General features: G+C 34.0%; 2 long non-coding RNA genes across 5 annotated transcripts in view; one reads left to right on the top strand and one right to left on the bottom strand.

The window, feature by feature from the left end:
- LOC105377949 (uncharacterized) overlaps positions 1-14,548 on the bottom strand; it is a 79,927-nt gene that overhangs the window by 22,762 nt on the left and 42,617 nt on the right. Inside the window, exons 3-5 of the long non-coding RNA XR_001744304.2 lie at positions 5,757-6,013; positions 3,288-3,358; positions 2,387-2,469 (exon numbers count right to left, since the gene is read on the bottom strand). This is a non-coding gene — a long non-coding RNA (uncharacterized LOC105377949). The remainder of the gene's footprint in view (positions 1-2,386; positions 2,470-3,287; positions 3,359-5,756; positions 6,014-14,548) is intronic.
- Positions 1-14,548, top strand: part of LOC107986634 (uncharacterized) — a 117,445-nt gene that overhangs the window by 99,756 nt on the left and 3,141 nt on the right. The window lies entirely within an intron of this gene.

Here is a 14,548-nt window from a genome sequence, read left to right as displayed (position 1 = left end):
AGATATTACTATCACTGATACAGCTACAGATTCCCCTTATTGTCAAAATTGGATTAGATTTTCTTTCCTTTTATCAACTTGAAATTATGAAGACATTTAAAGTGATTTCTGCAGGTAATTCGTATTATCCACTATATGTTATTCTCTCTATTCCAGCTCTTACAGATTGAGTGGTGCCAGACAATTTTCTCATTCAATAAGTATTGGTCACACCCTATGTGTCAGGCATGGTTTTAGGTGATGGGGATACAGCGATGAACAAATTGAACACCCTACTCATGGGACTTACATTCTAATGAAGGAGACAGATAATAAACAAATAAACATGTAATGTAAAATCAGTAGTGGAGAGTACTATAAAACACTTTAGTAATTAATCCTTCACCATCACAAATATTTTATTTGCAATGAACACTGGAATTTCTATAATCCTTTAAATAAAAATAAAAGATACATGTATAAAGTTTATGAATAGTATCCCATTTAAGGAAAACAATAAGTGCTAGTCGCACTATAAAGCTTGATCCACTAGCCAATATTTATTTAGAATGCCATATATCTATATATATAACACACATATATAAAATCATACAAAAAGTATGTGAGCCAAGAAACACTCTATAGAGTAAATAATTAGCACATTGCATGAATTTAAATTCAAAACACTTACAGAAGTGCTTTCACAGCTCAAAGCTGTTTCTGTGGATGAAACACCTAAAGAAAATGCTCCAGAGTATAGTCATATTGCTTCTAATTCCTGTTTCACTGTGTTATAGATAGATTCAGAAGGAGTTTACAAATAGCTAATCTGCAGTGCCTTGCTGATTTCTCTAGGAAACAAGATTCATTTTAATCAGGCATTATTTTAGGACAGGGAGTGTCTGGATGACAAAAAAAAATCACTAAAATATCTGCTACTAAATCATAGATTAGTAAGTAGTCCTATATCAGATGGCAAAACTGTATCTTGAGCCATCAAGAAACAAAAATGATGGGCCTCAGTGCATCCCTAAGGAACCTCTTAAATCACTGCCAAATTGATTTTCCTCTTCTCTAAATTTTCCTCTTCTCTAAGTGTAACTTCAGATATCTCTGAAGCAAACAAGACTATTGAGCAATTGACAAGCTGTTGCACACGAACTATAAAACAGGAAAAGGAGAGAAAATGTCTTAGTTTTTCCAAAAAGGGAGAAACAGAAAATATTAGGCTATTTCAGGCCTAAATCTGGGTATATTCTTAAATCTCAGCTCCAAATCAGTGTCATCCCATAGCAAAGGAAGCTGGTATTCTTTCCCTTGTTTTGTTCACACATTTTTTTTTCTTTTTTGAATGACAGAACAAAAAGTTAGCATAAGCCAACTTAAGGGCTATTATGTCTAGAGAGAAAAAGATAATCTTATCAAGAAGTTAGAAGAAGAGCCACCAGAGAAAACATGGCACCCAGACTGACATCCAAATTGGGAAATTGAGTAAATGATGCAAAATTCAGGTTGAAATTCAGCTATAAATAAAGAAATTCACTATTCCAGGTGTTGGTAAATGTTTTCTGTAAAGTAAATATTCTAGACTTTGTGGGCCATAAGGTCTCTGTTACAACTAATCAATTTTGATTATTATGTAAAAGCAGACACATAGACAATACCTAAATTAATAAGTGTAGCTCCAAGAAATCTTTTTCATAGGCACTAAATTTGAATTTTGAATCATTTTCATCTATAATAAAATATTTTTCCTTTTTTAAAACATTAAAAAATGTAAAAACCATTCTTTGCTCCCAAGCTATACAAACACATGCTACATACTAGATTTGGTCCATAGGACAGAATTTGCCAACCTTTACAATGTCCTAAAAACTTAACCAGGTAAAGGGCTATTTCAAAGTTTCTTTTTACTTTATGGTGCCCAGAATGTTTTATTTCTTATTGAGTCATGTACATGATACGTGAATAGACATATTTTTAAGTGAATACGTGACTAGGAAAAGAAAGTGATGTTTCTTATTTTAGTCAAGTCTGAGTGGCATGTACAGTCAAATATTTCATCATCTCGTGATACAAGATCCACACAGGACGAGCAGGGAGTATAAGTAGTAGATTAACTCCTTCAGAGCCAAAACTGAGAGTCTGGGGCACAGAGGTAAAATCATCAAGGCAATGCCAAAGTATGCATGAGACAGAAAGAAATGGCCATGCAACTGTAGAAACATTTTGATTATATTTAATATTTAACCACATCTTCAAAATATGGAAAGAATCTTCAAGTCCTCGCCAACAGTCAATTTCTACATTTTCACATGTTTATTCATTTTGGATTTCCTGATTTTTTATCTCTAAACAACTGTTTCTTCCAGAAACCACAGTACTAGAGAAAAAGAACTTTGCTTACAGGAGTGAATCCTGTCCAGTCCTTCGTAATCTGGGGACCTGAATCCTGGGGCTTCAGGCTGCTTTCTATGCTCAGAACTCACCCTGTGATGGGAAATCAAATGGTAAAGACCCTTGTTGGAAATCTTGATGGCCCTTTTATCTAGGAAGATATTGGCTAAGATTAGTAAAATGAATTTATACATGGGGGAAGTATTTTTGGAGGCTTCACTGTGCTGCAGAGTAAGCAACACCAAAACCAACAAATCAGAAACCTCATCTTCAAGAAATGCTAGCTATCTTGCTGGAAGGCTCAGAATTGACTGAAAAATAATTTATTTGCATCAGCCATTCTTCTTGTATAATCTTCATGTAATCTTCATAACTGTAGTTATGGTAGGCATAACTACAGTTGAATTCAGTGGTTTTCAAAACTTTTGTTTCTTTTTAAAGCAGCAGTAAGATTAAGACACTAACAGAAAGTCTCAAGGTATAAATCAGATTTATTTAAAAATCTAACAGAAAATCTCAATATATAAATCAGTTGAAGACTCTTGAAGAAGAGTCATCAAATTGACTCTGGATGAATCCATTGCTTGGAGTTCCCTCATCTAACTCAGTGACTGCTTAGGCTCTTTGCAATACAAGTTAATGACTGCTGATCTTTATTAACTTACTATTTTACCTTTGTCTTGGTTCTCCCCAGCCATATGTGGAAATGGCAATGTATTAAAATTTATCTCAGAATATAATTCTGCACAAATTTATTATAAAGTTATAACAAATTACAAATAAAATCTGTTCAAGTCTCTACCCTTTCCAATAACAAATAAGAGTCTTTCTATGTTTTTCACTGTGGATTACTGTTTTGTCTATTTTCTTTTTTGTGCCTTTAAGAACTTTGTTATAAAAATGAAATTTACCTTAATTTCAAACATTTGATTTTAGAAATAATCCACATAGTGTATTCTTCTTGCACAATTCACAAATATTCCTGTAGAAGACAAAAGCATAAGGAGAGGTAGTAGGGAAGACAGGGAGAGGGAAAGTTAGTTCTCACTAACAGGAAGCATCTTAGTGATTCAATTGCAAAGATTTCTAGAGAAACCAGGGATAGAGAAGCAACCCCCAACTGCGAACAGTCATGGGAAATGGGAAGATAGAAGGACATGCATAATTTAGCCTGGCTGACAAATTAGCATTTATCCAGTCTATGAATACACTGCTTTGGCCTGACCACAATTAAAGTGTCAGCTTAGCTTTTAATTCAAGGGGCATTATAAAGATCAGAAGAAAAAAATAACAGTTTCTAAAGTCTTTTATTCAGAGTACTGAAAACATCTTGAATTAAATTGAAAGAACAGCTCATTTACTTTCAACTACTCTTGCCACTTGTTTCCATAGACCAAGAGAAATGCAACATGGAAACTGCCTGGGACATTTTTTGGGACTCCAAGAATTATTAGTACCTGCTGATGATGATCATTAAGTGGTCTAAATTTTTGAAACATTAATTAGGGCTCCAATTGTAGTTTAGCCTGATCAATGTTAAATATAATTGAACTTAGTTTTTTTTATAAAAATCTTTGAATATAAGAAATACTGCCTTAAATATAATAATTCAAGAGCTCTTAATATAAACAACCTTTTTAAAACTAGAAAGCTGGTTCAGCAGAGGTTTAAAAATGCAAGAGGGTACATCTGGAGATGAAGTTATATGTTAATTTGCTCCCTGATCTCAAGTTGCTTTCTCAAGAATGCGAGGATTTAATTCATTGTAGATTATTTGGACTTCTTTCCAGGTTTTGTTTTCTCAACCTGGGAGATCATTCCTGGAGGGGATGAACAATAGTAGTCAGTTTCAAGAATCGTTATTATTTCAAATAGGAAACTTCTGAGGTTGTATTTTCATCCCAAATATGAGTGTGAATGTGTGTGTGTGTGTGCATGTATTTTTCTCCTAAATCATGTAATAGGATCTCCTGAGGATAGATTTGAAGTTAGCAAAAAGGAAGTTTTATTTATTTACTGAAATTTCTTAAAATCCAGTTCCCATTTTTCCAAGTTTTCAATACATTAAAAGCCTGTTATATATGTGTGTGCATATATGTATATATGTGTGTATAGATATATATGTATATGCTTATTTTTTTATTTTAGCATTAACTGTATGCCATTTGTGTACCTTTCTAAACTTAATTCTATGTGAAGGTCACTAAGAGTATATCAGCTCTTCATGTAGCTGATGGCACGATAAAATGTACCAGATAATGAGCTAAAAATGTATTTGGCTGTTACTGTAAAGGGTCAGAATATACTTGCAGAAGGGTCACTAAATAGAATTAATTCTAATAAAATAAGAATCTTATGGTGCTAAAAACAGCCAAATGAAAACTGAATATCAAGTCAATCACCAAAGTATTCTTACAGTGTTTCTCCACCACGATATTTATCCAATGTGTCAGCAGACACTGATAGTTCACAGCATACATGTCAAAAGTGAATAATAATAATAATGACCATCTAGATGATTGTTATATGCTTTAGAAGAAAAAAACACACATTTCATCATAAGAATCAAATGAACAAGTATGTTAATAACAAAAGAGCAGTATTTAAAGGGGAGATGAAAAAAGACTACACCCTGGATCATGGGTTTTCTCTTTCTTTCTTTCTTTCTTTCAACAGCTTAATTTAATTTCAGTGAGAAAATGGTGATTTGGGCCTCCTTCCAAGACATTCCTTATTTATTCCTCCCTGATGTCCAAGAATCCTACGATCCTAGACAAAAGAGTTGGAAGGAGGGGTTGATATGTTGGTGATAAGGGAAACCATTTTAATTTTAATTTCTCACTTTTAACACCTTCCCCTCCAAAAAAATAATAACGTAGTAAGTAAGTATAGATAAAATGCTACGTCATGGTGTTATGCTTGGCATAATTAGTGAGCAAAAGAAAGACACCATCTCTGTTACGAGAAGCTTGTACTCTAGGGTTAGCAGAGGCTGTGAAAAAAACACTGAGCCTCTTTGCCCTGGGAAGCCATGTAGGCCTTGGAGAAGATGAGACTTAGGGCCATTAACTTCAGCTGTAAGCAGTCTTATTTTGAGTTCCCTGGAGATCACCCTAAGCCTAATGGTACTTCCTGTGGTCCTCATGAGCTGTTGAATGGTGTTAAGGAAGTTCTCTACCAGACACCCACTTCTGAAGCCAGAAAGCGTTAGTGGGACACTGATAAAACAGTTTTTCAAAGATGCCTCTTATCAGGCTGAGGAAGTTTCCATCTTTTCCTAGCTTTTTGAGAGTTTTTATTTTAATCATGAATGAACATTAAATTTTGTCAAATATTTTCTTTACATCGATGCAGATGACCACACAGGTTTTCTTACTTACTTTGTTAATATGGGGAGCTACATGCATTGATTTTCAGACTGAATTTTCATTTCCTGGATAAAACTCAATTATGATGTATTTTTTAACATGTTGTTGAACCGTATTACTAAAATTTACTTAAAAATATTTGCTTCTATGTTCATGAGGGATATTGGTCAGTAGCTTTTTTTTCTTGTGATATCTTCATCTGGTTTTGGTGTTACGGAAAGGTAGTCCTTTAAAAATGAGTTGGAAAGTATTCATTCCTCTTCCATTTTCTGCAAGAGTTAAAGTACAATTGAAAATATTTGGTAGAATTCAGCAGTGAAGACATTTGTGCCTGAAATTTTCTTTCTGAGAAGATTTTAAAATTCAATTAGAGATACCCAGGTTTTTTCTTGAGTGAGCTTTGTTGAGTTTGGTAGTTTGTATCTTTAAGGCATGTAAACATTTTATCTTGTTATGTTTATTAGCATAAATTTGTTCATATATAAATCTTTTTCTTATCTTTTCAATGTTTGTTGAATCTAATATCACCAGTTTTTTCTGATATTGGTCATTTACGTCTATTCTTTAATTTTCCTAATGAGTTTGGCTAGAAGTTTATTAATTTAGTTGACTTTCTTAAGGATCAAAATTTCAATTGTACTGACTTTCTTCATTGGTTTTCTTTTTATCTGCTTTTATCTTTATTACTATATATAATCACAGGCATATACCTCATTTTATTGAGTTCCACTTTATTGAACTTTGCAGATTTTTTTTTTTACAAATAAAAGATTTGTGGCAATACTTTGTGTTTCATAAGGTACCACTTTTCCAACAGCACATGCTCACTTCATGTCTCTCTGTCACATTTTGGTGATTCTCACAATATTTCAAACATTGTCATTACCATTATATCTGTTATGGTAATCTGTGATCAGTAATCCCTGATGTTACCATTGTCATTGTTTTGGGGCATCTCAAACTGTGCCCATATAAGACATCAATCTTAATCAATAAATGTGTGTATTCTGACACACTGGCTCCACTGACTGGCCATTCCTTGTCTCTCTCCCTCTCCTTGGGGCCCTCTATTCCTCAAGACACAATATTGAAATTAGGCCAACTAATAACCTTACAGTGGCCTGTAAGTGTTCAAGTGAATAGAAGAATTCCATATATGTCATTTTAAATCCAAAGCTAGAAGTGATTAAGCTTATTGAGGAAAACATGTTGAAAGCCAAGATAGGCTAAAACCTATACCTCTTGTGCCAGACAATTAGCCAAGTTATAAATGCAAAGGAAAAGTTCTGAAAGGACATTAAAAATCTACTCCAGTGAACACATGAATAATAAAAAAGCAAAGCAGCCTTATTGCTGACATGGAGAAATTTTTAGTGGCCTGAAGTGAAAATCAAACAGCCACAACATCCCCTTAAGCCAAAGCCTAATCCAGAGCAAGACCCTAACTGTCTTCAATTCTATGAAGGCTGAGACAGGTGAAAAAGCTGTAGAAGAAAAGTCTGATGATAGCAGAGGTTGGTTTGTGAAGTTTAAGGAAAAACAGCCATATCTATAACATTAAAATATAATGTGAAGCAGCAAGTGCTAATGTAGAAGCTGCTGCAAGTTATCTAGAACATCTAGCTAAGATCATTGATGAAGGTGGCTACACTAAACAATAGATTTTCAACCTAAATAAAACATCCTTATATTGGAAGATCACATCTAGGACTTTTACATCTTAAGAGACGAAATCAATGTCTGGCTTCAAAGCTACAAAGGACAGGCTGATTCTCTTGTTAGGGGCTAATGTAGCTGATGACTTGACATTAAAGCCAATGCTCATTTATAATTAGGAAAATCCTAGGGCCCTTAATAATTATGCTGAATCTACTCTGTCTGTGGTCTATAAATGAGACAAAAAAAAAAGTCTGGATGATAGTATATGTGTTTACAGCATGGTTTACTGAATATTGTAAGGCCACTGTTGAGAACTACTGCTCAGAGAAAAAGATTTCTTTCAAAATATTATGTCTCATTGACAAAGCACGTGGTTACCTAAGAGCTCTGATGGAGCTGTACAAGGAAATTAATGTTGTTTTTATGCCTGCTTACAGAACATTCATTAAGCAACTCATAGATCAAGGCGTAATTTTAACTTTCAAGCCTTATTCTCTAAGAAATAAATTTCAGACCAAGCATAGCGGGGCTCACACTTGTAATCCCAGCACTTTAGTAATCCCAGCACTTTAGGAGGCTGAGGCAGGAAGACCTCTTGAGCCCAGGAGTTCCAAGACCAGTCTGGGCAATATAGGGAGACCCCATCTCTACAAAAAATAAAATCAAGTTAGCTGGGTGATATAGTTTGGATGCTTGTTCCCTTCCAATTTTTTTTTCTTTTTTTTTGAGATGGAGTATCACTCTGTCACCAGGCTGGAGTGCAGTGGCGCAATCTCGGCTCACTGCGACATCCGCCTCCTGGGTTCAAGTGATTCTCCTGCCTAAGCCTCCTGAGTAGCTGGGATTACAGGCGTGTGCCACCACTTCCAGCTAATTTTTTGATTTTTTTTTTTTTTTTTTTTTTTTTTTAGTAGAGACGGGGTTTCACCATGTTGGCCAGGATAGTCTCGATCTCTTGAACTCTTGATCCACCTGCCTCAGCCTCCCAAAGTGCTGGGATTACAGGCATGAGCCACCATGCCTGGCCCTTTCAAATCTTATGTAGGCCTAATAGGCCCCACCTCCAACATTGGAGATTACATTTCCACATAAGATTTGAAGGGAACAAACATCCAAAGATATTGGAGGTATTGGATCATGGGGGCAGGGATCCCACACAAATGCCTTGTCGCCATCCACTTAATGATGAGTGTGTTCTCACTCTGAGTTGATGCAAGATCTGGTTATTTAAAAGTGTGCAAGACTTCCCTCTTCTCTCTCTTGATCCCTCTCTTGTCATGTGACATGCCTGCTTCTGCTTCACCTTCTGCCATGGAATTAAAGCTCCTTGAGGTCTCACCAGAAGCAGATGCCAGCACCATGCTTCCTGTATAATCTGCAGAAGTGTGAGCCAAAATATACCCCTTTTCTTTATAGATTACCCAACCTCAGGTGTTTCTTTATAGCAATCCAAGAACAGACTAACATACAAGGTATGGTGGCATGTGGCTGTAGTCCTAGCACAGAGGAGGCTGAGGCAGGAGGATTGCTTGAGCCCAGGAGTTTGAGGCTTAATGCACTCCAGCCTGGGCAACAAAGTGAGACCCTGTCAAAACAAAAAAAAAGAAAGAAAGAAAGAAAAGAAACTCAGAAGGCTATGGCTGTCATAGATAGTGATTCTTCTGAAAGATGTGGGCAAAGTAAACTAAAAACCTGGTAAAGAGTCACAATCCTAGATGTCATTAAGAACATTCATAATTCATGGCAGGAGGTCAAAATATCAACATTAACAGGAGTTTGGAAGAAGTTTATTTCAACCCTTATAGATGACTTTGAGGAGTTCAAAACTTTAGTGGAGGAAGTAACTACAGGCCTGGTGGAAATAGCAAGAGAATTAGAAGAGGAATCTGAAGATGCAACTGGAGTGTTTCAATCTCATGATCAAACTTGAACAGATGAGGAGTTGATTCTTATAGATGAGAAAGAATGGTTTCTTGAGATGGAATCTGATCCTGGAGAAGATGCTCTGAACCTTGTTGAAATGACAATGAATGATTTAGAACATTTCATAAACTTATTTGATAAATCAGCAGAAGGGTTTGAGAGTATTAACTCCAATTTTGAAAAAAGTTCTATTGTGGGTCAAACGTTATCAAATAGCATTGCATGGTACAGAAATTTTTTATGACAGGAAAAGTTGATTGATGCAGCAAACTTCACTGGTCTTTTATTTTAAAAAGTTGCCATAGCCACTCTAACCTTCAGCAACCACTACCCTGATTAGTCAGTAGCTATTAACATCAAGGCAAGAATGTCCACCATCAAAAACCTTGGGATTGCCTGAAGTCTCAGATGATTGGTAGCATTTTTTAGAAAAAAAAAAAAAATTTAACTAAGGTATGCACATTTGTTTAGATATAATGTTTTGTATACTTAATAGACTAAACTATTGTGTAAATGTAATGCTTATGTGCACTGGGAAACCAAAAAGTTCATGTGACTTGCTTTATGGCAATATTCACTTTATTGCAGTGGTCTGGAATGAAACCTGCAATAGCTTCAAGGTATCTCTGTATATTTTATCTTTATTATATTTATTAATTACTATTACATATTTATAATTATTACTTATCATTCTTCTGCTTTTGTTGGATATAATTTACTCTTCTTTTTTAGTTTAGGTTAAAGCTAAGATCATTGGTTTGAGATCTTTCACCTTTTCTGAGTGTTTAATGCTATAAAGTTTTCTAAGCACTGCTTAAGTTATATCCTACAAATGTTGATATACAGTGTTTTCACTTTTGTTTAATTCAAAATAACTTTTCATTTCCTTTGTGTGTGTGTGTGTGTGTGCTTTTTTTTGGCCCCTGTGTTACTTAGAAGTAGGTTATTAAGTTTTCAAATATTTATGGATTTTCTAGAAATCACTTTGTTGTTGATTACTAATTCAATTTTTTCAGAAAACATACTTGAATTATTTTAAATTTATTGATACCTGTATTTTATGGCCCATAAAATTATGTCTTCAAAAATTTCTGTTTTCACTTGAAAAGATATTATTCTGCTGTTTTATGGTGGGGTGTCCTATAAATGTCATGTTGTTAACCTTGTTCAAATCTCCTGTATTCTTATTGATTTTCTGTCTACTTGTTCTATCAATTATTGAGAGAGGAGTGTTGAAATATCTGACTATAACTGTGAATTTATCTATTCTTATCTTTTATTTCTATCAGGTTTTGCTTCATAAATCTTAAAGCTCTAGTATTATGTGTATACACATTTAGATTTGCAATGACTTTTTATGAATTAATGACTTTGTCATAAAAGACCCTCTTTATCCCATAAAACGTTCCTTGTTCTAAAGTCTACATTTTCTTATATGAATATAGACATTCCATCTTTCTGTTGATTAATGTAAGCATGAAATATTTTTCACAAACTTTCGCATTTAGCATATTTGTATCTTTTATTTAAAATAAAGGAAGCAAAAACTATGCCTTATATAAGGAAGTATACCTTCAAGTAAGTTCATTCTACTTCACATACTGTGTAAGGTCTTTTATAACAGAATTCTTCCACTTCCTCTCCCTCTGCTTTTGTTCCTTTGTTTTCATATACTTTACTTCTACATGCATTATTAACTCTATTTAGTAGTGAAGATATCTGGGCTTGGCAATTTTCTTTGTGAGATTTTTAACTACAAATCCAATTAGCATTAAGAAAATGAAAAGGAAAGGCACAGAAGAAAATATTGACAAAATACAGACCCAGCAAATGATTTGTATCTGGATTACATGGAAAACTCAAAACTCAATAATTAGTAGATGAAGAGTCCAATAAAAATGTGTTCAATATTTGAACAGATACTTCAGCAAAGTTATGTGAATATCAAATAAGAACAGAAAGATTCTGAATATCATTAATCATTAAAATAATGCAAATTAAAACCACAATGGTAAAACACCATATACCTATTAGAATTGATAAAATTAAAAAGAATTACCATACCAAATATTAACTAGGATGTGGAGGAACTTGAACTTTTATATACTGCAGGTGGAAATGTTAAATAGTATAGCCTTTGAAAAACATTTGGCAGCTTAAGCATATACCTATAATGTGATCTAGCCATCTACCCAACACAAATAAAAGCATGTATTTACACAAAGATATGTAAATGAATGTTTATAACAATTTTATATGTGGTATGCAAAAACCTAGAAATAATCTATATGTACATTGACAGGTGAATGTATAAAGAAAATATACTCCTGCTATAGAATGCTACTCAGCAATAAAAGTAATAAATGATTAACAGATTAAACAAGAAGAATCAATCTCTAATTATGCTGAGTGAGAGAAAACTGTATGATTTTATTTTAGACAATGAAACCTAATCTGTAGAAACAGAAAGTAAATTAGTGGTTGCCTGAAGACATGGAGGAAAGAGAGATGGGTCATAAAGATGTATAAATAGGACTTACGGTCATTGATATGTCCATTTTCTTAATAGTAGTGATAGTTTTATTGGTGTATACATATATAAAAACCTTATCAGGTTGTATACTTCATAGATATGTGGTTTATTGTACTTTAGTTGTATCTCAATGAAGCTGGAAATAAAGTATTTTAAATTTTTTAAAGGTACTATTGAATTTGAAATCCATTTGTGTTTTGAAAAATTTCAACATTACTTTTATCAATAAAAAATGGAGAGTTTTATATTCTTTAAGTGTAATCCCAATTGTAAAATGTTTAATGCTTTAATAAATGATTTTACATTATTTATCACCTCCTGGCCTGAACCGTATGGCTTATCAATCACGGTCTTTTACAATTTTAAGAAAGCAAAATGAAAGTCCTGATTAGGAATTGTATGTAGTCACTTCAGATATAACATCCATTATTTAAAAAGAGAAAGCTGTGATCATGAATGAAAACTGACGGAAAGCTTTAATTTAAAAAATTGCATATAAATTTAGTGTGTAATACCTTCCTAATTATGTGTATGTTACTTTATTAAAATTATTTAATATAAATAAACCATGGCTTTTTTTTTTTTTTTTTACCAAGCCCCAGGTAACCTCTATCCAGCTTACTGTACAAAAATTGTCATTGCACTCTGATACAGTTTGGCTATGTCCCACCCAAATCTCATCTTGAATTGTAGCTCCCATAATCCCCACATGTCATGGGAGAGACCACATGGGAGTTAATTTAATCATGGGGGCGGGTTTTCCTCATGCTATTCTAATGATAGTGAATACAGCTCATGAGATCTGATGGTTTTATAAAGGGTAGTTCCCCTGCACACACTCTCTTGCCTGCCACCATGTAAGACGTGCCTTTGCTCCTCCTTTGCCTTCTGTCATGATTGTGAGGCCTCCCCAGCCATGTGGAACTGTGAGTCCATTAAACCTCTTTTTCTTCATACATTACCCAGTCTCAGTTATTTCTTCATAGCAGTATAAAAATGGACTAATATGAAATGAGCTAATTGTTTTTGGAAAGGTTAATCTTAATGAACTAACAGTGATTTAATAGTTGCAAATGCTAACTTTAAAAAAATAAAATACTGAAATTAGAGGTGTATTGAGTGATACATTTCCATTCCCATTATTAATTTAAAATATCCACAGAAAATGTAACTTAGATTTTGAACTCTGTATTGCATACTTAATTATCAAGAGTTTAAAACTGGGGTAAAATAAAGTGGAACAAAGAAACGTAAAAGAAGGAAAGCACAGGAATAGCTGAGCAACCAGCTCAAGAAGCCACAGCTACTCTGACTCATTCATATACTGGCTCAATATTGAACACATGAGTGTGTACAGAAGATTTTAAAATGTCCCACTGATATTTTCACATATACTTCAAACAGTAATTCACATATAAATTGCCATATATTGTTCATATATTTTAGTCATTAAATCTATTTTACATCTTATCTAAGTCATAATGATTATAGTGAATGTAGGCACAGATGCACATATATTTAGTCATATATACAAGACCGTTTCTCCTTTACAATGGAATTTTAAAATGTTTCAATTCGATAATGATACTATATCCCAAGCACTAAACACCAAGGAGACAAATATGGTATGACATAACTGACCCATAGGCCATCATCAGTTCATTAAAAGACACAATATGTAGGGCCTAAGCTAAGACAGGGAGGGTAAGGGTAGAAAAGAGCAGAGAGAAAGAAGCAAGACTTAAGCGTAGAATTAATAGATCTTGACAACCAAAAGGATGTTCATGGGGGTTATGAGATTGAGGAAGAGAAAGAGAAGATTCAATAACTGTTTGCATCAATTAAAAATAGTGTTTTTTCATAAAGATAGAGATTAAGAGGAAAAAAACAATTTGTGAGAACATATTTAGTTTGGTTATGGGCATGTGAAGTTCTTGGTGTAAGCATTTAATTCCAATCTGTATCTTACGAGGAGAGAGGCCAAGCAGGAAGTATGTTGATTTGGAATTTATTTATATATGTGTTAAATGTGGAAAGTAAAAAGTGAATGGTGTTGCTCATAGTATGAAATTCAGAAGAAAAAAGAAGCAAAGACTGAATTTCTAGAGAAAATCAGTTTTTTGAAAATAGAGAAATAAATGAAAGTCTGATAGAGAACAACCAGAGAAGGCAGAATCAGAGGGAGATAAAGTCCTGAAACATGAGTATGGTTGTTTCAAGTAGAAAGAGTAGGCTTAATTACCAAAAATGTCCAAGACAAGAGAAGAGGCTCCTGAATTAAACTAGTAAGAGGTGACTTATTAAACCTGCATAAGCCATAATTCAAGATAGATAGGATTTGGAGGCAGATCACCACTGGCTATAAAATCAAACTAGAAAGCCTTTGCCAGGATCTGTAGTAGACTTAAAAATTGTTTAATTTGCATCTTACCTCCCTTCTGAGTTTTGGGGGAGTCTCCATTATGTGTAGTGTTGGCAAGAGAAATTGCCCCACTTTTGTTACAGAGGCAACCAGAGTACAGGACATGTGATGAAGTCTTAGCTAATCATATACTCCCACCTAAGACTTTATATCTGGAGAGAATAAGCCAAAGACAAAGTGAAAGTTGTAATTCATTTGTAATAGTCCCACAACAGTGGAGACATCATCCTAGCTAGCCATGTTTCTCCTGGTGAAGATGGTTGCTGT

Source organism: Homo sapiens, chromosome 6 (assembly GCF_000001405.40).
Source record: "Homo sapiens chromosome 6, GRCh38.p14 Primary Assembly".
Taxonomy (NCBI): Eukaryota; Metazoa; Chordata; class Mammalia; order Primates; family Hominidae; genus Homo; species Homo sapiens.
Note: the sequence above shows the minus strand (reverse complement) of the source record. Positions and strands in the feature narration are given on the sequence as shown.